At 42.9% G+C, this 27,877-nt stretch overlaps 1 protein-coding gene across 5 annotated transcripts in view; it reads left to right on the top strand.

The window, feature by feature from the left end:
- KCNH1 (potassium voltage-gated channel subfamily H member 1) overlaps positions 1-27,877 on the top strand; it is a 455,835-nt gene that overhangs the window by 325,878 nt on the left and 102,080 nt on the right. For all 5 annotated transcript variants that reach the window (XM_047419823.1, NM_002238.4, NM_172362.3 and 2 more), the window contains 2 exons: positions 4,105-4,304; positions 10,511-10,763. In XM_047419823.1, coding sequence (XP_047275779.1) covers positions 4,105-4,304; positions 10,511-10,763 — 453 coding nt within the window. The remainder of the gene's footprint in view (positions 1-4,104; positions 4,305-10,510; positions 10,764-27,877) is intronic.

Below are 27,877 nucleotides of genomic sequence, written 5' to 3'. Positions count from 1 at the left end.
ATTTTCTGGGATCCATCCTAAAAAGAGGCACATCTACTCTTTTCCTGTGACTCCTGGTTCATTGTGAATCAGAAAACAGAGCTGAAGCAGGACTGCCCACATAGGCTTGTTGAGTTAGAGTCAGACTCACTGGAAAAAGACAACTAGCCCATCTCCTGGGAGGATGGTTAGTTCTGACCACACTTCATGTCACTATTGGCATGGAGGAGACAGGACCTTCAACTGCATTGTTATGAGGCTATCTATGAGCTTAGAAGAGCAGGTGTCTGCTTTTTGTCCGGCTCCTTTTGTTCAGATTGACACCACTCCCTGGTACTTTTCCAGAGAACTCTTTGATCCTTGTTTATAACTCTCTTTTGGTGGATTTGTGTCCTCAGTCCTTCCCTTATCTCTAGATCCATGCATTTCTCTCTTATTTTTTTGCCTCCCATAGTATGTCAGCTAACACTGAATAAGATTACTTGGAAGAAATGGTTGTGGTACATCCATACAATGGGATAGTATTCATCAACTAAAAGGAAGGAACTATTGAAACATGCAACAACTTGGAAGATTTTGATGAGTTAAAAAAGACAATCTCAAAAGGTCACATACTGTGTGATTCCATTTCTGTAACATTATTATTATTATTATTATTTATTTATTTATTTATCTTTTTGAGACAGTCTCGCTTTGTCACCCACCCAGGCTGGAGTGCAGTGGCACAATCTTGGCTCACGCAACATGCACCTCCCAGGTTCAAGTGATTCTTGTGCCTTAGCCTTCCAAGTTGCTGGGACTACAGGCATGTGCCACCATGCCTGGCTAAATTTTTTTGTTTGTTTTTTTAGTAGAGACAGGGCTTTGCCATGTTGACCAGGCTGGTCTTAAACTCCTGGCCTCAAGTGATCTGCCCGCCTTGGCCTCCCAAAGTGCTGGGATTACAGGCATGAGCCACTGTGCCTGGCTTTTATAACATTCTTAAAATGACATAATTATAATAAAGGAGAAAAAGGTTGTGATTGCTGAGGGAAGCGTGACCATAAAGGGGAAGCACAAGGAGATCTCTGTGGTGATAGAAGAATTCTGTATTTTGAATGTAGTGTTGGTTAAATGAATCTACACGTGATAAAATGACACAGAACTATACATATACTTTATAGCAATATCAGTCTGTTCTTGATATTGTGCTGTAAGATGTAATTAATGGGGGAAACTGGGTGAAGGGTACACAGAATTTTTCTGTACCATCTTGGCAACTTCTTGTGAATTTTTTTTTTTTTTTGAGATGGAGTCTTGCTCTGCTACCCAGGCTGGAGTGCAGTGGTGTGATCTTGGCTCACTGCAAACTCTGCCTCCTGGGTTCAAGCGATTCTCCTGCCTCAGCCTCCCAAATAGCTGGGACTACTCGTGTGCACCACCATGCCCGGCAAATTTATATATATATATATATATTTTTTTTTTTTTTTTTTTTTTTTTTTTTTGGTAGAGATGGGGTTTCACCATATTGGCCAGGCTGGTCTCGAACTCCTGACCTCAGGTGATCCGCCTGCCTCGGTCTCCCAAAGCTTCTTGTAAATTTCTAATTATTTCAAGTAAAGTGTTTGCTTTTCTTATTTAAAAAGAGACATGAACTATTATTAAACAATACATGCAGTAACATGGATGAATCCCAAAATACGCTGAATCAAATAAACCAAAGAAGAGTACAAAAGAAAAAAAATAAGTACAATGAGCTACATCAAAGCTAAAACCTTTTGTGCTGTAAATGATACCACCAAAAATGATACCACAACCCATGGGATATGAGAAAGTATTTTCAAATCATTTATCTGAGAAGGGACTTGTATCCAGATTATATAAAAGGGTTCTTAGAACTCAACAATAAAAAAAAAATTGAAAAATGGGCAAAGATTTGATTTCTCCAAAGAAGATATATAAATGACCAATAAGCACATGAAAAGAAGCTTAACATCATTAGCTGTATGGAAATGCAAATCAAAACCACAATGAGATGGCAAGTCATACTCACTAGAAAGGTGATAATTGAAAAAGACACAATAACAATTGTTAATGAGGATATTGAGACACTGGAACTCTTATAGACTGCTGGCAGGAATGTAAAGTGGTGCAGTTACTTTGGAAATCAATTCTGCAATTTCTCCAACATGTTAAACCTAGTAACCGTATGACCCAGCAATTTCACTCCTAGGTATATACACAAAAGAATTGAAAATATGTTCACATAAAAACTTGCACATGAATGTTTGTAATAGCCAAAAAGCAGAAACAACCCAAATGCCCATGAACTGATGAATGGATAAATGAAATGTGGAATATCCACACAATAGAGTAGTGTTCAAATTAAAAAGGAATGAAGTACTGATACATGCTACAACATGGGGTGAAGCTGGAAAACATTATGTTAAGTGAAAAGCTAGTCATGGAAGACCGCATATTATGTGATTTTAACTTATATGGAAATCAATAGAGATAGAAAGTAGGTTAGCAGTTGCCTAGGGCAAGGGGCTTGGGAGGAAATGGAGGATGATTGTTAATGGGTATGGGGTTTATTTTCGGAGGAATATATTCTAAACTTAGATTGCGGTGATGGTTACACAACTCTGTAAATATACTGAAGACCATTGAATTTTGTACTTTAAATGGATACATTTTATGGTGTATGAATTATATCTTAATAAAAGATGTTAAAAAGAGTACATATTGTATGATTCCATGTATATAAAATTCTAGAAAATGAAGGTTAATCTGTGTTGCCAGAAGAGAGATCAGTGGTTTTTTGGAGATGGCAGGTGGAAAGCAGGTGGGGATGGGAGGGAGGGATTACAAAGAGGCATGACACAACTTTTGGTGGTGATGGATATGTTCACTATTTTGATAGTGGTGATGATTTTATTGGTGTATATATGTCAAAACATAGCAAATTATATACTTTAAGCATGTGCAGTTTATTATATATCAATAATAACTCATCTTTTGAAAAGCCAGAGCAAAAATGTGTGAAATTTGACAAATATTTATTAAGTACTGGTATAGTGTTAGATCCTAGGGATACAACGGCAAGGAAAAGATGGCTTCAGCCTTCAAGCAACTCACACTGTCAGGGAACAGGCAAAGAAAGAAGCACGTGATTGCAAAATGGTGTAATATGAGTTCTATAGAAATATGTCTGGTAAATCATGGTCACACTCGTGGTGACAGATGGAGGGCAAAAGGTGTATAGGAAGACTTCCTGGAAGCAGTGGCTCTTGAGCTCAGCATTGAGCAATGGAAGTTAGAGGTAGAAGGTTGGGTTTTGTAATAACATAATGGTCCTTCTTCCTAATGCAAATGTAGGGGGAGCTGTAGTAGCATGTAGTACACACTTGCTATGTCTCAAAGGGGACTTGATTTTATTCTTACCATATTAAAGCTATGTTTTTCCCCAGGAGCCACATCACAGTGAAGCAGATTGTTGCACTAACAGTAAGTGCAAAACAAGGATATAACATCCTTCACTGCCCTCTGCAGACTTGCTATTATTTATTTATTTGTGATTATTTATTCAAGGTCTGTCATTCCTGCTCCGTTTTTTGCTCTGTGAGGACCAGGTCTGACTGTTTATTCACCATCCTGTCCTTGGCAGGTAGCACAGTGCTTGGCACGTAGCAGAGCTTGATAAAGCTCATTCACTGATGGGTTTGGATTTTGACTGGTGTGGAACACATAGGCACACATTTGACTAGTGACCTCAGGCATGGCTCAAACTTTTTATGACAGAAAGTATAAAATTAAGCAGTACAACTTACCCCGCCCCCGCAACCCACTGCCTAGCCCCCACTGCTGTGTCTTAGTTCTGGCCCCGGCCATGCCAGCTCACATGCACCCTAGCCCTGTCTCCCACACGTTTCTCCTAGTAGCTTGGTGGTAAGAGGCTCTTTCTTTGCATCCATGCCCCCAGAAGCTCCAGGTGTGAGGGTCTCCTGAGAATAGTCAGGGCAGTCTGCACTGGGGAGGGACAGCTCTGGCCATTGGCCTACTCTGAGCAAGCTGAGCATTCTGGAACCCTGGCTCAGGGACCACTAACTTGTTATTTCTTCTTTTGCTCCTCCTCCTCACCTCTAGCACTTCTCTATGCCACCATCTTCGGGAATGTGACGACTATTTTCCAACAGATGTATGCCAACACCAACAGATACCATGAGATGCTCAACAGTGTTCGGGACTTCCTGAAGCTCTACCAGGTGCCAAAAGGATTGAGTGAGCGAGTAATGGATTATATTGTGTCCACTTGGTCCATGTCCAGAGGCATTGACACAGAGAAGGTAAGGAGGATGAGGAGCTCAGGGAAACCATTTGTCTTTTGGTTTCCCTAGGAGGGTTGAGGCTTGCCTAAGACAGTGGATGTCAAACCTGGCTGTGCTCAGAATTCACTTGAGTACTTTGGGATTCCAGGTCCTACCTCCAGAGGTCTTGTTTGCTTCTAGATCAGCCTTACTCAAAGACCAACAATAAAACATCATTAAGAAATTAGAAAGGCAGGGTGTATTTCCTGGAGAAGAGAGGAGCTGGAAGTCTAACTGTCCAGGGTAGAATTTCCCAAACTTGGATGATGATAAGAATCAGAGCCATGACTAGAGACGGGAGATCAGTATTGTCAATTTTCTTTTTACCCAGACTTGAAGATAGCACAGCACTGTTACTGATCTTGTCTTTATTCAAACTTTTGATATTTTGTTCATCATGGATTTTTTTGCATTAACCTTAGAATTAAACCATGATTTATCTTGATTACTGACTTTTTTAGCATTCCCTTAATTTGTGTGCCCAAGGCTGTTGCCTCACTCATCTCAACCTCATCTTGACCCTGATAAGAATCCCATGATGTCAGGCCAGATGCAGCGGCTCATGCCTGTAATCCCAGCATTTTGGGAGGCCGAGGCGGGTGGATCACTTGAGGTCAGGAGTTTGAGACCAGCCTGGCAACATGGGGAAACCCCATCTCTACTAAAGATACAAAAAATTAGCTGGGTTTGGTGGCAGCACCTGTAGTTCCAACTACTCAGGAGGCTGAGGCAGGAGAATTGCTTGAATCCAGGAGGCAGAGGCTGCAGCGAGCCAAGATAATGCCACTGCACTCTAGCCTTGGTGACAGAGTGAGACTGTCTCAAAGAAAGAATCCCATGATGTCATTACTAAAAACAATCCTAGCCTCCATCCCAGATCTGTGAAATGAGAACTTGGGGGAGGTGAGGGAGCATTTTTAATAAGTGCCCTTAAAAACTATCCCAGCCTTCACCAGATCTATGGAATGAGAATTTAGGGGAAGTGAGGGAGCATTTTTTTTTAAGGAGTTACTCTTTTTTTTTGTTTTAATTTAAGTTCTGGGGTACATGTGCAGAACATGCAGGTTTGTTACACAGGTATACACGTGCCATGCATTTTTGACAAGTGCCCAGGCAACCCTATTCATCAGACAAGTCCAGGAAACAGTGATCAAGAGTTTGTGCCTTAATCATCAGTTGACTTGACCAGAACATCAATTAGGCATCTCTCTAGTTATTTGTTTTCCCACCTGTAAAATGGAGAGGGTGATAAATTCCTATTGTTCTCTAAGAATTGTATTATTCTAGGTGCATTTCAATAGAGTAATGAAAATTTGGTGGTACTGGAAATAATAGAGAAAACATACAGTGGGCTTCCTATTATTTACTTATGAATTTTCTTTGCATATTTTCTATAAAAAAGATTTAATCTCAGATCCATTGAGATTAAATCTATTCTCAATGAGATTCATTCTCTGCTTCTCAGTCTTTATCAAGTCTTTTTTCTCTCCAGTCCATAAGTACTCAAGGCATACTGATTCTTTCGACCGTTAGAATGAGGAAAACAGAAAGATAACATGATCGTAAAAATACATAATGACACATTGCAAACCAAATTCAACTGGCTTTGGGATCAGCTACTTATGTTCCTAGTCTTCCTTCATTAGAATTGTCAGTTGAGAGTTGACAGTTTAAAAGGAAACATTGAACTGAATTTAATCCTCAACTTGAACATTACTTTGGTTTTGCTGACTATTTGCCGTGATAACCATAACACCACTACTACAACCTCAGCTACCATTTCTTGAACATGCATTAAGAACAGATATTTGTTGTGCTTCTTCTACATGCCTGGTCTTGCACTAGTGTCTCATTTAGCCTCCACAGCAACCCTGTTATCCTTCTTGAAGGGGGTAAGCACAAGAGGCCCGATTCATTTTACTAACTGCCCCTGGTCACAGTGTAAAGAATGGCAAAGCCAGGATTTGAACACCATTTTGTCTGACTTCAAAGCCTGTGCTTTTCCTACTATTACTTAAAAAAATTTAAAACATGTACTAGAGAGAAGGAGGATGAGTCCAAACAGAGTCATTCTAATTTCTTGGATGGGCAGGGTATCGGCTGGAGCTGAACTTAGTCGCTGCTTTTGCCAACCACCTGCCCCAACTACGCCTATTGTTTCTGCTGTGTTCTCTCAACAATGCCTGTAGGTTCTGTGGGTTCCTGGCAGCTGATGGAGCAGAAAGGAACTTTGATCTCTCTGCCCTAGGGCTCCTTTTCCCAGGCACCAGGATGCCTTTGTAAGTCTGGTTGTCTGGAAAGAAGCCCTTCCCCACCCTCACTGTAGGGCTGGCTGGGTGGCTGCCCATGGGAGACAGCACCGTCAGCATTTGCCCTCTCTTCCTCTCCCTGTAGATCTGTCCTGCAGATCTGCCCTCACTTTCCTGGAGGGCTTTGGGATTTGCCCCAGGTGCTGGTCCAGATGGAAGAGGGAATAGCCATGGACCCAACTGTGGCTACTCACTCTGGAGCCCAGAGCGGGCTGGCTGCTCCTCTGGGCAGGAGCTTGTGGCAGGCTACTGCTGGGGAGAGAACCAGTCCTGTCATCCTATACCTCTCCCCATCTGCCCCTCCCCTCCAATCTAGGTCAGAATGGTCAGTGATAACCAGGGAGCCAGGGCATGTGGGTGGTAGTGCTGGGATACCCCAGTTTTACCAGCTATTAGCTGGTGACTTTGAGCATATCACTTGTCTCTCTCCAAGCCTGTTTTTATGTCTGTAGCTCATGGAAACATGAATTTTAAGACTAGGTGACCTCTAAAGCCCTTTTGGCTATGACCTTCTGGACTTCAAAGCCTCCCTGAAATTGCTGCTGCTGCTATGATGACAATATCAAAAATGAGAGCTCACAGGCATTGAACACTTGTATGTGTCAGGCATTATGCCAGGACATTCCACACAACAGCTCATGGAATCCTCAGAAGAATTCTATATGCAATTTCAAAAAAATGAAGACATGGGGAGAGGAGCTAAGTATTGCTGCACATTCACGCATCTAGTGAGTGCTGACACTGGGACTTGAATCCAGTTCTACCTGATCCTAACGCCTCTTCTCTTACTCAGGACTCTTGTCCTGCCTAGCTTGGAGGAGATTCCACGTTGATATCTCCCTTTGGCCTTTGAGACCTTCAAGGAAGAGCAAGGATGGTCTCTTCTCAAAACCTAGCAGTAGGAAAGGTGGCCGGGGTGGGGTTGGGAGCCGGCTGTGGGATCTCAGAGTTGAGACCTCCCCACTGCACTCAGAGAGAGGAGTTCCAGACACCCCACCCACCTCAGTGTGGAGCCAATAGATGGAAAGAACGATGGAAATGACTGATGGCTGTGACAGTCTGCAATTTCTCCTCTCCAGGTTCCCTCACCTGCTCACACTGTACTCTCCATTGGCTCTGGGAACAGTGCGCATGAATAAAATATTGTCTCCATGCCAAGGCCTCATTCACTAGCAGCCTCTTCCAGGGGAAGAGTAAAGTCTAGCTCAGGGCAAATGACATATTTAAAGGTGAACTCACCTGGAGAATAAATCTTGGTTCCAGACGACTGGGCACAGTTTTGACATGGCGTGTGAGTGCTCCTCATTACCTAGTGATCTGCTTGGAGAGCAGAGGACCTAAATTAAATCTGCATTTCTGCAGGAGTCTTGTTTTTAATGAGCCTTATGGAAGTAAGTCCTTAGCAAGCACTCTGCCCAAGCATTGGCGTTCTGAATTTTCCTCTCTGCCTTGGTCTGTCCTGTGTCTGTACTCCCAGAGGGCATGCTCGCTTGATGGGCATCCTGCAACCCCAGATCAAGAATGCAGAAGCACACAGAGCAAGGGCATCTGTACTTACTGAATCCCCTACTGGGGCCAGGCTTTGTCCCAGGCTGTGTACTGGTAGATATAATTTCATTTAATTCTCACAAGTCAATGTTAACAGTCTGCATTTTATAGGAGAAATGAAAAGTGTCACCTGGAGGGGAAGGAGCTGGGATTTCAACTCTTTGACCCCTTTCCACTGCTGTACCTCCAAGGAGAGCACAGGGGCACCTGAGGGGGTGGGGATATAAGTGAAGCCATCAGTGGTGAGGTGAGATTTGAGCTGGACTTTGAAGGAGGCTGAAAGTCTTCCAAATTTGGGGATGAGCAGCAGATATAGTGGCAAATGGCTTGTGCTAAGGCAGAGAAGCAGAGGTGGGAAAGTACCCAGAACTTCAAGGAAAACGTCATCACTGAACATGTTTGATTTTATGCCCCTAGCTTTGCTCATAAGCTAGGATGGGAGAATGGATTATTTTAGAAACACTTCTGATTTCTCTGGAAAAGTTTGCTTGAAGGTGTCCATACTTAATGCTTGCTATGTAGGGGGCCATGCAATGTTTTATTGCAAACATTTAGTCCAGAGAAATATTTCTCCCTCTAGGAAAACCTGTAAATTTTTAATCTTTTCAGAAGATGAGATCTGCATAGCCTCCTACAGTTTTCCTTTTGCTTGAATTCCAAGATGCTGCTGAGATGTTGATAATAAAATTACAAGCCTTTTTTGTGGGGCAGCTGCCTAGTATAGGAATTGGTTGGGATCTAAACCAGGCTCTAATGTCAAGCTACCTAGTTTGAAACCCCAGCTGTGCCATATCCTGGCAATTTTTGGCGAGTTATTTATCTTCCTTGTGTCTCAGTTTTCTCATCTGTAAAATGATATAATAATAGCACTTATATCATACAGTTTGTGGGAGGATTAAATTAGCAAATGCATGTAACAGTTTAAAATGTAAAATCACAACCCTGTTCAACTTTGCCTATCCTTCTTTCCTTTTTTTTTTATTGTTTTCTTTAAGCACTTACCACTAAATTTTATTTATTTTGCTTACTATTTGTCTCTTCCCATTAGATGGTAACTCATATGAGGACAGGGATTTTTGTCTTTTTTTATTTTTATTTTTTGCTGCTTCATCCTCAGAGCCTAGGATGATGCCTGACATACCATAATGTGTTTGATAAGTATTAAATGAATGAATGATTCTAAAGTGTTTAGCAATGCCTGCCACTCAGCAAGTGCTTAGTAAATGTTACTTTATATCTGTCTTTAAATAACACCCTATATTCAGTCCATCAGTAGATCATGTCATTTCTACATTAAAAATATTTTCTAAATTTAACTGCTTCCCCCTGGCTCTCCTGCCAGCATCCCAGTCAAAGTTTCCCTCACCTCTCACCTGGACAGCTGCAGGAGGGACCTAACTAGATTCCTTGACTAGACTCTTGACACCCTATAGTCAGCACTCTCTAACATCGCTCTGTAGCTTCAATGATCTTCTTCAGATGTAAGTCAGGTCATGACATTCTCCTGCTCAAAAATCCTCCAGTATTTCTCTATCATACTTGGAATAAAACCCAAGGCTTATTACACCTAAAAGTCTCTCATACTTGGTGTTGTCTCTGATCCTCATCTCCTGCCCCTTTGCCCTCACTCCTTTTGGCTATTGCTCAAGTTCTCTTAGGGCCTTTGTGTTTACTATCTTGCTGGAATGTTCTTCTTTCACATGGCTCACTCTTGCACTTATGCAGGAGTCAGCTTAAACGTCACCTTCCTGGCCGGTTGTGGTGGCTCACGCCTGTAATCCCAGCACTTTGGGAGGCCGAGGCGGGCGGATCACGAGGTCAGGAGATCGAGACCATCCTGGCTAACATGATGAAACCCCTTCTCTACTAAAAATACAAAAAATTAGCTGGGTGTGGTGGTGGGCGCCTGTAGTCCCAGCTACTCGGGAGGCTGAGGCAGGAGGATGGCGTGAACCTGGGAGGCGGAGCTTGCAGTGAGCCGAGATCATGCCACTGCACTCCAGCCTGGGAGACAGAGCAAGACTCTGTCTTAAAAAAAAAAAAAAAAAGTCACCTTCCCAGAGAAGCCTTCTCTGACCACTGATCTACAGGGGTCCCACTTACTCCCAGTGCTGATTCTCAGACCCCTGTCCTGAACATTCAGCACAGATTTTTTTTAGAAGCTATCTGTCTCATCTATAAGAATATAAGCTCCATAAGCGCAGGGACTTTGGTTAGAAGAGTGCAGTCTGGCGTAGTGGATGTTGCTCCTCCCCCTAGAGTGCTGAAGGATGTGGGCTGAAGGCCACAGTGAGGACCCTCACACTGTTTTTTTCTGTACCTGGCTAGGTCCTGCAGATCTGCCCCAAGGACATGAGAGCCGACATCTGCGTGCACCTGAACCGCAAGGTGTTCAAGGAGCACCCGGCCTTCCGGCTGGCCAGTGATGGCTGCCTCCGGGCACTGGCCATGGAGTTCCAGACGGTGCACTGTGCCCCAGGGGACCTCATCTACCATGCAGGAGAGAGCGTTGACAGCCTCTGCTTTGTGGTTTCTGGCTCCCTGGAGGTGATCCAAGATGATGAGGTGGTGGCCATTCTAGGTAGGTGTTGGCTTTGCTGGATGGGCAAAGGTATCTGGGGTTGGCTTAGCTTCTGGGCAGCTCAATGCCACTGCCACCTTCAGTTAGAGATTGCTTCATAGGGCAGGGCCAATTGCTAATATTCACTTATCTATCCAACAATCAAACGGCGAGAGCCTGTTTGGCACAAAGCCAGTCACTGTTTGATATCTGGAGTATTTCAATAAGAAAAATGGGTTTTATCCTCAAGGGGCTCCCAGTCTAGTGTAGGAGATGAACAAATAAGCAGACATTTGCAGTACAGTGGGAGGCACATCTAACCCAGTATTCAAGTGGGAAGGCTTCCTGTACCTATGCTAAAACTTAAAAATTGAGAATGAGTTAGCATGGAGAAGAGAAGGGATGAAGTATCCTAAAAAGAGGGGATAGCATGTGTCAAATCCTTTCAGAGGGAGAAACTCATGACTCATTTGGGGAACTACAAATTATTTAGTGTGGCTGGAACACAAGAGGGGACATGGTAAGATATCAGACTAGGGAGGGAGTGAAGCACTAGGCAGATCGTGGCAGGCTCTGGAAGCCACATTAGGTGACTGGGATTTTATTTGGGGGATCCAATGAAGAGCTGAAAGCAGGGGAGAGGCATGATGAGATTTGTACTTTAGAAAGATGACAGTAGTTGCAGCTTGGGGAGTGGATTGAGTAGGGAAGGCTGGGGTAAGGAGACCAGGTGGAAGGCATGTTATCTAGAGGTAAGTTGATGGTGGCCTGAACTAATACTGTGGCAAGCAGATGGAGAGAAGCAGATGGAGTTGAGATAGTCAAGAAGTAGAATCACTGCAACCCAATGACAGATTTGCTGTGGCGGGGAAGGAGGAGTCAGCGAGGACTATAGGTTTTCTCACATGGATAACAGGGAAGCTGGTACACCATCCACAGTAATAGAGAATGTGGGAGGAGGAGCAGGGATGCGGGGGAACGTGTTGGTAACTGGGACATTGAGCATCAGTAGCTTTTAGGAAATGTGTCTAGTTTTCTCAGCTAGCTAGACAACAGCTCTTTATTGGTGGTATATCTTTAAAGGGGCAAGCCATCGTCATAATAATAGCTATCATTTATGGTCATCTACTCTGTGCCATTTGACACAGCATTTGACACACAGATACTCATTTTAAACTTACAGTAACCCTATGAAATGGTTTTATTATCCCCATTTTGTAGATGAGAGAATTAAAGTTCAAAGAGATTAAGGAAATTTCCTCATGGCTGATGAGGTCCATGGAATCAGCATTCCAGAGTCCCTCTGACTCCAAAACCTCTGCTTCAATCCATTTTGTAATACTGCAATTCTGATGATAATTTTTTTTTTTTTTTGAGACGGAATCTTGCTCTGTTGCCCAGGCTGGAGTGCAGTGGCATGCTCTCGGCTCACTGCAAGCTCTGCCTTCCAGGTTCACGCCATTCTCCTGCCTCAGCCTCCCGAGTAGCTGGGACTACATGCACCCACCACCATGCCCAGCTAATTTGTGTGTGTGTGTGTGTGTGTGTGTGTGTGTGTGTGTGTGTTTTTAGTAGAGATGGGGTTTCACCATGTTAGCCAGGATGGTCTCAATCTCCTGACCTCGTGATCTGCCCGCCTTGGCCTCTCAAAGTGCTGGGATTACAGGCATGAGCCACCACACCCAGCCTCTGATGATAATTAACGTAGTATGCTAGCCCATTAAGTTGCCAGGTACTGGTAGAGATTGCAGACATGTGTTTTATCTTTTACAAATGATTTATTAGAAAACTGAGGCTGGAGGAGATTAAGTTACTCTGAAGTTAGAATTGAGATTCAAACTACATAGAGACATAGATAGTATTATTTTAAAAAAGAAAGAAAGAAAGAAAAAGAAAAGCCCCAACTTTATTCCTGCTTGACTTTGGAGCACACAATATGTAGCTTCCTTCTTGTTTTTTGGTCCTAAGCCAACTGACTCTCTTGATTACATTTGGCTTAGGTTAACCCAAGGATGATTTATATTCCTTCAGCATACACTGGCAGATGGTCAAAGGGAGAGTGGGATAGAAACTGGGCGGGGTGGTCGGGTGCAGTGGCTCATACCTGTAATCCCAGCACTTCAGGTGGCTGAGACGGGTGGATCTCTTGGGTCCACGAATTTGAGACCAACCTGGGCAACATGGCAAAACCCTGTGTCCACAAAAAATACAAAAATTAGATGGGCATGGTGGTATATGCTTGTGGTCCCAGCTACTCAGGAGACTTAGGTGGGAGGATCAGAAGCGGAGGTTGCAGTGAGACGTGATCACATCACTGCACTCTAGCCTGAGGCCTGAGTGACAGAAGGAGACCCTGTCTCACAAAACAAACAAACAAACAACAACAACAACAACAACAACAAAAACAAGCAAAAAGAAATTGGGTGGGGAATGGAGGCTGAAACTGTTTGCCAAAATAAGTGTTCTAGATTCCATGGTATCCACTGAACCCTGCAGACCAGAGTTACTCTGTTCCTTGCCCCCTTATCACAGAGAAGTGAGATTCAACTGTGTATAAATAGGACTCATGAAGGCAAAAACCATTGCTTTAGTATATCTGATATGAAAGAGCATTTTTCACTACCTTTAATACTCATCAGTTTCCTTGATAAGGAGGAAATTCTACTGGTGGTCATAGCCACGTTTTTATGTTTGCCTGGCTGAGATGAGCACCTATTAACTAGTGAACAATCCTTTAAATTTGGATTTGACTTAACCCTTTGATAAGGGCATTTTTCACTCATCTTCTCACTCATAACTTACCATATGCCTTTCCATGCTCAGGGCATCCCTTCATGACTCACCACACACAGCTGCATTACTAGGAGTTGGTTTGAACACCTAGACTTAGGCATAGAGGCATGATGGAGCTGAAGAGGGGTGGGGAAGACAAACAGCTTCCTAGCCCCTTCTCATTTCCTTTCATCCTGGGCTTCTTGTGAGGAAGAAACCAGGGCTTGATTTATTGTTGAATTACTTGACCTTGTTGACTGCGTCTCTAAATCTAGAGGGCCTCTACTTGGGGCCCTCCCAGGCATTCTGCCTGCTCTAGTTAGCAATGTGGACAGGATCTCTCAAATAGCTCAGCAGCTTTGGATTCAAAGTGGTTGTTGCCTTCAAGCTGTCTACACTAGAAAAAGCTTCTCCACTTTGTCTCTAGGAGCCAGATTGAGTCTGTAAAGTAGGTCCAAGCTCAATATTCTAAATAACTTATCAGATTTCATGGGGCTCTTATTCTCTAAAAGGTCGAGACACGTCCTTTGAATCAACCTGAGCTCTGGACAAAGAGGCATAAGTGATTCTAAGCTGTTTGCTCCCTGGAAACTTAAATTCAGAGTTTTGTTCTTGTTGTTTTTCTATAATTAGCATATCTTTTGGTCAATGGACTGAAATCAGTTTGTTCTTGCAAGGGGGTTCAAGCATCAAATGGGTATTATAACTATATTGTCTGTTGATGCCCTTCAGTACAATCCAACCAAAATGCATTGAACACCTGCTATCTGCCAGGCACTGTCATAGGGGTGGGGATATAGCAGTGGACCAAACATTAGTCCAGCCTCCTGTAAGTGGAGGGGGCTGACAGTGGAAAGACAGCCATCACTCTGCATGATTCGCATTGCCATAGAAAGAATGCAGGTATTCTAGAGGATCATTGGATGAGCAATTATTGAGCAGCTACTGTATATCCATTGCTTTAAAGAGGACAGAAAATATGCAAGTAATCCTTAGTTATCACAAGCAAGAGCCTTTAGAAAAAAACGCCAGAGCTCATTCATCTCATTGTCTTGCTCTTTGTTCTCTTATTATCAGTTCACTCATTTACATTCTGCTAATTGGCCTCTTTCTTCCAGTTCTAATATTCCACTCACATTCTCTGTTTAATTTTAGCACAGATGCCAAGAACGAAGAAAAGGGTCAGTACTCATAACTGAGTGTGTTTAGTTTGTGTTAAAAATAAAGCCCTTCTAAGGAAAGTATTTTAAAGAAGAGTGTTTTTCAAACTTTTGTGACTGGAACCTGCCATATGAAATGTATATTACATTGCAAATGAATACATATACAAGTGCACACACAGTTATACACAGAATTTGATACTTCTCTTGCTATGTGAGTTGCAACCTGGTATTTTCTATTAGATAATGTTCTCTTTCATTAAAAAAATGACCATCATGACCCACTAAATTGTTTTCCTGACCTGATCACAGTCTGCAGTTTGAAACGTGGTCCCAGAAACCTAGATGATGTTCTCTGAGGACAGAGAACATATCAGAAATCTCTTATGATCTTTCCCTTTGCTGTTCTCTCTGCCTTAATTTTGCATGAAATCCTTCTTATATCCTTTTGGAATTCTCTTAGAAATCACTTAATGGCTTCTCAAATCTAGTTTCTTGGCTTCTTGAAATAAATTCGAGATTTTCACATGTGCATTTTATTCATTAGATTTTAAAAAGTAATTTTCTTTTAATTTTTTATAGAAATCAGTATTAAAAGGTAGAGATACCATTTTTCCCCTATCCAAGTAGTACTAGTAGCATCTGCATATAAGTAGTTATCTTGGTATTCTGTGTTACTGTGTGACTCACCAACATAGATGAGTCATGGACTAGCATCAGGGCTGTGCATAAGTGTGTTAAGTATCTCCCTGCATTTCTATCTTATAAGTACGATATTTATATGATCTCCTTTCACTGTGATTTAGTGTCCCCTTAGTAATGTTTATGGGTTTTGCATTTTAATACTCAATTTATGTTTTCTTTATGGATCATCTTGTGTTTTCCTGTTTTGTGGATTTTTTTTTTTTTAATTTTCTTGGGGCAAACAAGTATTTTGGCCAGGCTGCATCAAGCAGTGAAGAGTCCTGAAGCTAGAGATTTAACTCTAGTCCTGGTTCTACTCTTAACTCCTTACTGGAGTTGCCACTAGCTGGTTAAGAGTCTTCAAAGGCCTCCTCTGTTTCTATTAAGCCTATCACACTGCATCAATTGCATGTTTACTTCCCACTCTCCTGTGAGCCCCAGACTCTTTGATTTCTTATCTCCAGCACCTAGCACATGGAAAGAAAGCACCAGAGGCTATTTTCTGAATGGAATGCAATTGAAAGGAAGGCAGAGGTTAGGCTTTGAAGAGCCTCACAGTCCGGAGTAAGACTATCTTGTGGGGATAAGGACCCAGAGAGAGTTTTAGAAAGGGGGTTGACAGGAAGATTTGGGTTCCACAAATACAGAGGCATGGAGACTAGCAGAGAGGCTCAGGAAAAATGGTGAGCCCCTGAATAAAGAAGTAGAAGGAGAGCCAGAGTCCAGAGATATCAGGGGAGGGAGAACCTCTGGGAAGTAGGAGGTAAGGAGAGGGAATAGTTTCTGAAAGTGACTGGAGAAGTCAACAGGGCCAGAGGAGGAGGAAGTGGAGGAGGAAAGAAGATGGGAAGAGCCATGGGGAAGATTGATGAGCAGGCCCCAGTTCCCATGGCATGGATCTTACTTGCAGTCCTGTCACTACTGAGTTAGGACTTATACGTACATAAAGGCATAAATGCTTGTTCATGGATGAAATATTCTTTATTTTATTTATTTATTTTTTTTAGAAGGACACCTCCTTGTCACAGTTCCTAATTTGGAAGGTACTCTCATTTTTGCTTAGTTAGCTTCCTTGTGTTCATTGACCTTATTTGGATATTACTGCGGCATCTATTTATTTAGCAATCACCAGAGCATAACATGGTCTTAATCTCTTTGGGGGTATAAAGAAAATCCTTGTCTTGGAGGAATGTTCTGTTACATGTGGTGAGACAAATGCATGGCTAGTGACAATAAGTAACGTGGGTACCTTTTTCTATAGACTTCTTGGAGTGAGCAGGGAAATGTTCATGGAGGAGGTAGAAGTTGAACTGGGCTTGGAAGGACAAGTAGGAGTTTCGTAGTCTGAGTCTGAAAGTGGAAAGTATAGCACGGGCCTCCAGAGGTATTAGAGAATACATGGAAATGCATGTGGCATGTTCAGGGACCAGCATGAGTAAAGTAGACTGAGCAACCTTTCCATGAGGCCAGTGGTTCTCAACTATAGTGGACACAAAACTCAGCTGGGAAACTTGTGCATCATGCCAAGCCCCAGTTGTTCCCCACAGGTTCTGAATCTATAGCCCTAGCCCCAGAGGTGATTCCACGCATGTGGTTGGAGGACTGCACTTTGAGAAACATTGCTTTAGGCAGTCACCGCTTGATGTTTTTTGTGGAATGGGGTGAGATGATGAACGTGAGGAAGCAACTAAGGCAGGGATGCACTGAGTGGGAGACCTTTTATTACATTAACCTAAACCACAAGAAATGACCAATTCTTCACTTTTTTGACATACCACATGGTAGGGTCAACTTCCCAGTGATCTGTATAAGAGGCCTAGAGTAGTAGCTCTGTGAGAATGGAGTCAAGGTTTGGACAGTTGAGGTAGGGCATTCTAAATGGAAAAGATGATGTGAGCTGAGGCCTAGGGAAGGAAAGTGTCAGGGGTGTTTCATAACCACAAGACAGCTACTTGAGCTGTAGCTGAGAGCCCTGCGGGGCAGCAGTGGGATATGGGGCTTGGGAAGCGTATCAGGGCTAGTCTATGGATGAGTTTAAAGGTCAGCATGAGGAACTCAGCAGTGGAAACCACTGAAGGTGGTGAGTAAAGCATGGCACTATTACAGATGTGATTTGTAAAGATTAATGGATTGAACGGAGAGACCAGGAGGCTGGTAGGTAACTATGGCTTACAGTAGAAGTAAGGAGTGTTAAGATGCAGGCAGTAAAAATGGAGACAGGAGTAGGGCTGCCAAATACAACACCACATGCCCAGTTTAATTTGAATGTCACGTAAACAATACATAGTTTCTAGTATAAATTTTACCCAAATGTTTCATGGGATATGCTCATGAGTGAAATTATTCATTTATCTGAAATTCTATTTTAACTGGGTATCTTGTATTTTTATTTGCTAAATCTGCCAACTGTAGTTGGGAGGGAAAGGTGGATAAAGCATCATGAAGCAGAGTCTGTAAGGTTGTAAGCAGGATGTGGGGAGCAAAGACAGGAAAGCAAGAGAGGCGATTCTGATGAGTGGGGAAATGGAGGCATCAGTGGTAGAAGATCAAGTCAGGAGGAAGTGGTGGTGAGAGAGATAACGGTGAGCTTCATTTTGACTTGTTACATTGTTGCATTTAATGGCCAATAGGGTATCCAAGTGGAGAGTCCAGCAGGGACTTGGACCCTGTGGGTCTGGAATCAGGAAAAGAAACCAGGGCTCAAGACAGGAATTTAGGATTTAGAGGAAGAAATATGAAATGTATATTTTAAAAAGACACAGATAGAACATAGGAATAGTTTTCTAAATGACCAAGTATTTCAGAGCATTTGAAAAGAATTGGGAAAGCCAGGTGTGGTGGCTTCTGCCCATGGCCCCAGCTACTCAGGAGGCTGAGGCCTCAGAAGGCTGAGGATCACTTGAGCCTAGGACTTTGAGGCTGTAGTGCACCGTGATCACACCTGTGAATAGCTACTGCACTCCAGCCTAGGCATCATAGCAAGACCCTGTCTCTAAAAAGAGAAAGAAATGGGAGTATAGCCATTCACAATACTCACAAGAAATTTTAAACGATACTAGAAATTCTTATGATAAGCAAAGTAAGTAAAATACAATTTTTAAAATGCAATATGATCTCAGTTATGTGAGGGAAAAACATTGATTCATAGATAAAAGCCCATAAGTGTTTTCACTAACATGTTATAGTGCATGTCTTGTTTGTGAGGCTTTAGGATATTTTAATTTTTTTAAATATTTGTCTTTCAAGTTGTCTTTAAGAGTATATGCTACTTTCCAAATGTGGAAAAAAATGTTGTTTTAATTTTCAAAGGGGTATTGAGAGAGTCAACATTATTTCAAATTTCACATTTGTTGGTTATTAGGATATAATTTAGAAGAATGATATTATTTTTCATATAGATGTCTTGACAGCATTATTTTTGTTATTTACCAATTCGATCAGAAAAAAAGTGGCATTTACTTTTGCATCTAGTACCCAACCCCTCCCTCTAAGCATTCTTGGAAAGGAGGATGGCCAGGCAATGAAGACAGAATGGCTTATCTGACAAAGATCTAAAGCAACAACAAAAACAACAATAACTTTCTATAAACCCTCATTATTTTAGAGGTTTGGAGAAGCTAAATCCTTCACAGAGATGCTTCCCAAGATTCTTGTAAGCTGAGTATGGAGAGGAGGGGGTACCCCACTGCACTGCCATCACTGTGGTGCATTGCTCCTCATTGCTCCAGGGACTTGAAGTTGCTAGGTAAATATTGCTGCCACTTGCCATATAATAATGTTGTTTGCTCATGCTTAGCACAGAGGGAGAAGGCTATGTGTCAGTGTCACCCTAAACACTCCAACCAAGCATTAATACTCATACAGCTGTTCCATCTGAAGCAATTAAACTAAGTCCGCACTTTTAGAAAGAAGCTATAGGCCGGGCGCGGTGGCTCACGCCTGTAATCCCAGCACTTTGGGAGGCCGAGGCGGGCGGATCACGAGGTCAGGAGATCGAGACCATCCCGGCTAAAACGGTGAAACCCCGTCTCTACTAAAAATACAAAAAATTAGCCGGGCGTAGTGGCGGGCGCCTGTAGTCCCAGCTACTTGGGAGGCTGAGGCAGGAGAATGGCGTGAACCCGGGAGGCGGAGCTTGCAGTGAGCCGAGATCCCGCCACTGCACTCCAGCCTGGGCGACAGAGCGAGACTCCGTCTCAAAAAAAAAAAAAAAAAAAAAAAAAAAAAGAAAGAAGCTATAATATGAATAATCTAGAATTTCAGAAATGCAAAACCACTTGTATCAGGTAGTGCACACATTACCTGATTGAGAGAGGGTGGAGGCGGAGACCAGTTCTCTTTCCTAATTCTGTGTTTGCTTAAGTAATTTTAAAAATTGGTTTACAGTCCCCGAAGACACTGGCAGCTAGGAAAGTTTATTGATCTTTCTAAAGGAAATTTTCATAACTTTATAGTGTCTAGACAGAGGGATTGGTTGAATCATAAATTGTGGTAAATTAAGGCAGTTGTTATGATAATGATATGAAGAAGTTTTACTGGCATGCAAAATGTTTCAAATATAACTTTAAGTGGGATAAAAGCAGAATATATAGCTATATATAGAGTAACCTTAACTAGATCAAAATGCATATATGAGTAAAAGAAAGATGGAAAGTATACCAAAATGTTAACTGAAGTTTTCTGGACAGTAGACTTATTTGTAATTTTTATTGTCCATTTTTCAACATATTTCAGTTATTTTCTCTAACGCACTTATATTCTTTTATAAATAATCAGAAGGGGGAAAAAACAATGTTCTCATCCATAGCAATCTTGGAAAATTATCACCTGCTTTCAGTGGAAGATTTGTGTTCTGTTTGCTTGGTGGAGAGATTTGGCTAATTTAATTTTATCTAATTGCAGTAATGAAGAACAGAAGGAGAATTGTCATGAAGTTTCCAAACCATTGCTTTAACTTAACCATTTATGGCTGAGTCCCCATTCAGACAGAGATGCCAGCCTTGATTTCTCATGATCAGCATAGTCCCCACAAGGAAGGCTGTTGACCCATATTTGGGTGAAGTTTTAATACTTTTAGGGACAGATTTATGTCACAGAGTAATTTCTAACATGCATTATCTTTAATTCTTTTTAAATTAGTCTGTAAATTTTCAGCTTATCATTAAACTGAATTATAGTGAATTACAGGAGTGTTTCTGAGCAGGTCAGCAAATTCCTTCTTCTTGAGTGAGGCCGACATTGTAGCTGCCTAAGGATACCCAGGTTCTTGCACTTGGACTGGGGACCTATCTTCTCCTCAAAGTCATCCAGCCTAAGACATTCTAAGTCTTTCATATCCTGGACTAACTTAACATTGTTCTGTTCAAACGCATGCTTTCATTGATGTGAAACGCATCAGGTACAGTGCTAGAGGTTGGAAATACAAACAGTGGGCCAAACAGATACACCTCTCATAAAGCCAACCTTCTCAGCCAGGAAACAGCCAAGTAAATATGCATTTTATAACATAGAGCCAAGAGCTGTAATAGGACTAAGAACAGGATGCTGTGGGAGCTTATATGACAGGCATCTAATCCAGCGGCTATGAGAAGTCAAGGATGGCTTCCTGAGAGAGCTGATGTCTGAGCTGAATTCCACCAGGGACAGCAGTGGCTGTGGGGGGTTGCAAAGGGAGATTAGAGAGTAAGTGTTCCAGGAATAGGGAGAAGCATCTGCAAAGGTTTTGGAGACACATCTGGGAAAAAAAAAAAAAGTAGTTCCAAATACCTGGAGCATAGCATTCTCAAGAGGGTAGAACAGGTGAGCAAGGCCTTGAGACTTGTTAGGGAATTTGGACTGAGGGTAATGGAGAGCCAGTGAGGATTTTAAAGCAGAAGAATGACAGAAACTCATCTGTGTTTAGAAAAATCATCCTGGCAGCTGTGTGGAGAATGGAGTAGAAAAAGCCAAGATAAAAGGCAGGGAGCATGCTGAGAGATGACAGTAGCCTAACCTGACTTAAATGGCTGTGGAAATGAAGAAAAATAGATCCAAGAGGTATTTTATGTATGAAATTTTCAGAGCTTGGCCATCTATTTTGGATATGAAGATGAGCAGGAGAAAAAAGCCTGGAATGACTTGGATGACTTCACTGGGATGGGCAACACTGGATGATGGGCAGGTTTCCCAGGAAGGAGGACCAGTTCCATTTTTAGATCTGTGGGTTTGAGCTGAGTGAAAGTAGCCAGTGGGAGATTCTGGACTCAGAAGAAAGATCAAGGCTTGAGGTGAAAATCTAGGGAACATCATGGTCTAGGTGGCAATTGAAGCCAGGGGAGAGGCTGAGAACACCCAGGGAGACGAGGGAGAGAAAGAAGCAACAAAGTCTAGAACACAGCCCCAAGGAATACCAATTTATAGGAGCCCGAGATGGATTTCCAGAAAAGGAGGAGAGACCAGGAGAGAGGGATATAACAGAAGTCAAGGTGTGTGGTGGGGGAGGGGTCGTAAGGGAGTATGACAAATGGTCATTTTCAAGTGTTACAGAACTATAGTTCACGAAATAGACAATGTCATGGATTGTAAAACACATTAATATTTTATGGCCCATTAAGAATCAGTGCTGCCAGGTAAACTGGCACATTTTGATTTCAGAGATAAAAATGCTAAACACCGTACGTGTGTGCTAGAATCAAAGAGGTATGATTCATTGAGAACTACAAAGTGTCCTTTAGATTTATCAGCAAAGGAGTTATTGACTATGGTGAGAGTAGCATTAGTGGAGTATGGGGGTGAGGAGCAAGATTAAAGTAGCCTGAGAAATGAAGAGGGATGGGTATTGGGTTCAGGGGTGCTTAATAAATTGCATAGATTCCCCCAAGAGTTCTGAACCAAGAGAGAAAATAAGTATGACGGGTACAGGTCAAGGCATCACCTTTTATTTTCCAGATAAACCTAATATTAGAGAATGTGCTTTATATTTGCATCCAAGAAGTCTTCTTAATATTGAGACCCAGAATTAGACCCACCTTGTGATGATGACCAGCACAACCCTCTTCCTATGCGGGTCTGCTCCATAAATCTTATGGCAGAGGAGGACAGAAAGAACATCCTTCCTACAGGCAGTTCATTCCCGAGGAGAGAGCAAAGGGCTGGTCTACACATGAGTTTGTTCTCCCTGCAAACCTATCAGTCAGGTGAAGATTCAGAACATGATGCAGCTGAAACCACCTTACCATGGAGAGACATATCAGGAATGGGGACAAAGTAGTTTTCCTTAAGAGTAGGAATGCAAGCTGAGGCAGGCAGATCACAAGATCAGGAGTTTGAGACCAGCTTGGTCAACACAGTGAAACACCCCGTCTCTACTAAATATACAAAAATTACCCAGATGTGGTGGTAGGTGCCTGTAATCCCAGCTACTGGGTAGGAGAACCGCTTGAACCCAGGAGGCGGAGGTTGCGGTGAGCCAAGATTGCACCACTGCACTCCAGCCTGGGTGACAGAGCTAGACTCTATCTCAAAAAAAAAAAAAAACAGAGTAAGAGAGCAGAGATAATGTAAATAAGACTACCAAGAAGTTTAGTTGATAAAGGAAAGTGAACCCAGCTCAACCAGGTGTCTTCCTTCCCAACCATCCAACTTTTTTTCCTGCTTTTTGGAAAAATTGTCTATTTATTTCATGTATATCTTAATTATCTCACCTCACCATATAAAGGCCAGCTCCATTCTCATCTTCTCTATGAAATCTCAATAGTCCTGCCTAGCCTTGCCTCTCCCATATCTTGGTATTTGTTACTGTTGTTTTATACTTCACTGTTACACACATATGGACATTTTGTCTCCTTATATTGTAAGCATCATCTCTGTATCATCTCTTTGAAGATAGAGATGATCTCTTAGCCTTCTGTTTTATCCCCCTGAATCACTGGAATTCTGCCTGATCCATGATAGGTAAGGCCAGGTTGTTGAACTGGGCTGAACTGCGTGGAGAGAGATGGTAACACAAAACCCCACCTTTGGAAACTTTCAGTCTACTCACTGCTTGGGAGAGAAAGTCAAGTGCACTTCCCATGGAACCTGGCATATAATCTTACAGGTTCTTGGGTGTGTTTCATTGACCAGATTTGTGGCTGACATACTCCAGTGTCCCATCTCTAATATAGAGATGGTATGCAGAAGAGCATAACCATTGCACTCCTTTGTACCAACATCAAAAAACAAAAACAGAAACAAATGTTTCTTGAATATCTCTGAGATCTCCCACAAAACCTAGAATGAGACAAAACTTTTCTAGGCATAGATGCCCTTTAGAGAAGTAGAGTGAAATACAGGCCTGTCCCTGCAGCCAAGGCCCCCTCAGCACCTCCATTGCTTCCTTTCTTTGTTGGCATAAGAAATCCAAAAAAACATGTCGGTTAAGCACTTGACACCCCAACACAATCAGATAAGACCTTAGAGCTAAGGCTTTATTCCTGCTAGTGTATTTTCACTACTTACATGCGAAAACAAGTTGATGAGATTTCCACTGTGTCTGTCTGTCTTTGATGTATGTTCTAACATCTGTAAACTGTAGCAGATAAAATAAGGTCACATACTGCCAGCAGCATTTATTTTTTGCAGTAAGGATAAAAAGCAGAGCTTTGTACCTTTACTACAGATAAGAGATGGCAACATTTATAAGATGTCAAAACTTTGTTTACCTACTCTTCTCCCATGTGAGAGAGTTATTAAGTGTTCAAAATCAACTTGAAAGGCTGGACTTCAGCACCATTGGGGTGAGGCACAGAATGGGTGCTGGGCACCTGAACCTGGCACGCTCTGAGTCCTCACTAATTCTTGCTTTCTGGTCCACAGTCAGGGCTGGGCTGGAAAGTGAGTGATATTACAAAGGTTTCAGTTCAAGTTGCTGGAGGTTTTGCTCTGAATGTGCTGCCAGAGTCTTCATCATCATTTTACTCTTCAGTCCATTAGACACATGGAAGCTCATGCTTTTTCTTAGAGCAGGTGAAAAAAGCACCTTTGTATATACCTCTATCACAGAGGTCAACATATTGTACTGACCCGCTGGACCATGGACTCCTGAATTGGCTAGGTTGCAGGTTCAGCTGCTCCAACAAAAACCCAAAAGAAAGGAAGCTTAGACAAGATGGAAGCTTATTCTCCTCTTACCTAGCAGTCCAGGTGTAAGAGGGCTGGTGTGGCAACCTTGTGGTCTTAGGCACCCAGCCTCCTCCTAGTGTGATACGTCACCCTAAATAGGTTGTTGCCCTTGGCCTCCTGGTCCAAGTTAGCTTACATCCTTATTCCTGCCAGGAGGAAGGGGAGAAGGTATAGGGAAAGGCAAACATGGTCTTTCTCTTTAAGGAAATGATCTGAAATTGCACACATCCCTTCTACACACCTCCCCTTAGTCAGAACTTGAACAGATGGCCACACTTACCTGCAATTTAGTCTTTATTCTGGTTGTCATTATGCCTAGCTAAAAGTCATGGGTTCATTACCATAAGAGGAAAGAATTGATTTGGGGGAAACAGCTGGAAACCTACCTAAGCCATCACTCGGTAAGGTCAAAATCTTGTCTCCAGTTTATCCTTCTTTCCATCACCTAGCATTATGCCCACCCAAGGCAGGTGTCATTGAATGTTGATTGAAGAGGAGGGCTGCTTGAGGGAGGGAATGCAGAGGATGACATCCTGGGAACCTTGCGTTTCCTTTGCCAGCATGGAGACCACGAGGCAGTCACAGGCAATCATTTAACCTCTTCAGAACTCACTTTTCTCTCTTTCAAATGAGGCTGAGAATCCCTGTGGAATTTGCTTCACAGTGCTGTTGGGAAGATTCTTCTTTTATGGTGGCTACTATTTATTGAACCCCTACTATGTTCTAAGCATGGTGCTAAGTTATCTGTTGACATTCATTCATGTAAACTTCACAGCAGCCCAATGAGATGGTGTCTTAGTCTATTCCAGCTGCCATAATAAAGTACCATAGACTGCGTAGCTTATAAACAACAGAAATTTATTCCTCACAGTTCTGGATGCTGGGAAGTCCAAGATCAAGGTGCCAGCAGATTTGGTGTCCTGTGAGGGTTCACTTTCTGATTCAAAGATGGTGCCTTCTTACTGTGTCCTCACATGGGGAGGAAACTCTCTTGGCTTTCTTTTATAAGGGCACTAATCTTTTTTTCTTTCTTTCTTTTTTTTTTGAGACGGAGTTTCACTGTTGTTGCCCAGGACAGAATGCAATGGCACAATCTCAGCTTACTGCAACCTCTGCCCCCTAGGTCCAAGCAATTCTCCTGCCTCAGCCTCCTGAGTAGCTGCGATTACAAGTGCTCGCCACCACACCCCGCTAATTTTTGCATTTTTAGTAGAGATGGGATTTCACCACATTGGCCAGGCTGGTCTCAAACTCCTGACCTCAAGTGCTCTGCCCACCTCGGCCTCCCAAAGTGCTGGGCTTACAGGTGTGAGCTACTGTGCCCGGCCAGGGCACTAATCTTAATCATAAAGGTTCCATCTTCATGACCCAGTTATCATCTAGAGATCTCACCTCCAAATACCACTGTATTGGGAGTTAGGGTTTTAGCATATAAATTTGAGGGGGTGGGGACACAAATATTCAGACCATAGCAGGTTGGTATGATTAGCCACATTTTATAGTTGAGTAAACTGAGGCTGGGAGAGATTTAGTAAGATGCGCAGTGCTGTTCATTTATATATACATTCAACAGCCATTGAGTGCCTGCCACGTACCGGAGACAGTGCTGGGTATGCAGCAGTTCCAATTACGATGGGTGTTTCCAGGAGGAAACAGAATGAAGAGGACATAAATAATAGGGAGCTACTCTGCTCAAGGGATCAGAGAGGAGGTTTGGGCATATTTTGAAGGATGAGCAGGAGTCATCCAGGCCAAGGAGTAGGGTGAAGTGTCTGGGGCAGTGCCTGGAAAGCCCTGATGTGAGACAGGAGCCGAATTTAAAGGGACTCCAAGACTCCCAGTGTGACTGGAGGGCAGGGAGTAGGAGGAGAAGTCCAGCAGTGGTCACCACAAGCCCTCGATGGGTTGAACCTAGGCTTGCAGCCAGCTTGTCTAGCCCCGAAACTCATACTGAAAGAATAGATGATCAAGTTCTTGGAAAACGTGTTGAGGGCAGTACTGGGGAGGAGGAGATTTGGGCATATTCTCTTTTTGTCTTAGTCATGGCTGTACGAACTGAAGAGAGGGCCTGGATTTCACATAGGTGGTATAATCCAGGTGGTCTGAGAACTGAGCCCTTGTCATTGTCCCCCTGAATGATCTAGTTCAGTGAATATGCACACATTCTGCTTAGGGCTTGCCTGGAAAGATTAATCCAGTTCCCCTTATCTGTCTTATAAGGAGTTTTTTTCTAGGGCCAGGAGAGAGGATGCCCCTTCCTCGGAGCCTCCCTCAGCTATGGCAGGACTCTGCAGCTGCATTTCATCATCCTGATGAAGTGAATGAAGAAACCCCTCTTGTCCTGAAATGGCATGAGGACAAAGGACTTCCTGATACCCTAGGGAAGAGGAATAAAGGCAGTGGGATAGGGGGAGGAGGGCAACCCTTACTGTACTTGGTGTTTCTGGCACCTCTCTCAGCCTCCCAGAGAAGCCGCCAACAGAGTAGTGGATCTAAACCTTTAAACAGCTACTCACTCAACAAGCTGATGTTTCTCACTCTCAGTGTACAGAGTGTGGAAGGTGCTGAGGTGAGTTTGCTGCCAAATGAGGAAACCAGGCACTTTCCTCCAAGGATTACAAAATATAACTCTCATTTCTACAGGTGAATGAAGGAACAGATAATTCAAAATAAGGGGTGGTTCAGAGGCTTACGTGGCTTTTCAGTTTTGTTTGTTTGTTTGTTTGAAACGGAGTCTCGCTCTGTCATCCAGGCTGGAGTGCAGTGGTGCGATCTCGGCTCACTGCAAGCTCCATCTCCCGGGTTCACGCCATTCTCCTGCCTCAGCCTCCCAAGTAGCTGGGACTACAGGCACCTGCCACCACGCCCGGCTAATTTTTTGTATTTTTAGTAGAGACGGGGTTTCACCGTGTTAGCCAGGATGGTCTCTATCTCCTGACCTCGTGATCTGCCCGCCTCGGCCTCCCAAAGTGCTGGGATTACAGGCGTGAGCCACCGCGCCCGGCCATGGCTTTTCAGTTTTGCTAAAGAGGCAGATCTTTGTGTCTCAAGGCCTTTGCTCATGCTGATCCCTCTGCCTGGAATCATCTCCATGCTTCAGCTTTATGCTGCTTAACTTGAACTCATCCTTCAGGTTGCAGCTCAGACATTAATCTTGGAAGACTTCCCTTATCCCTTGAACTTGAGCTGGATACCCCTCCTGGACTCTCCCTTGTTATAGCCCCTAACACATTATAGTCACCTGCATCTCCTTCCCCCACTGCATCTGCTGTTCCACTGTTACACCTCAGCCCCTAGAACAGTGCCTGGCAAAAGTTGCATGAATGACTGAATGAATTTTTTTTAATTGGTTTGGGTCTAGAAATAATGATCTCAACA

The sequence above is a fragment of the Homo sapiens genome, chromosome 1, assembly GCF_000001405.40.
Source record: "Homo sapiens chromosome 1, GRCh38.p14 Primary Assembly".
Classification (NCBI taxonomy): Eukaryota; Metazoa; Chordata; class Mammalia; order Primates; family Hominidae; genus Homo; species Homo sapiens.
This window is presented reverse-complemented; position numbering and strand designations above follow the sequence as displayed.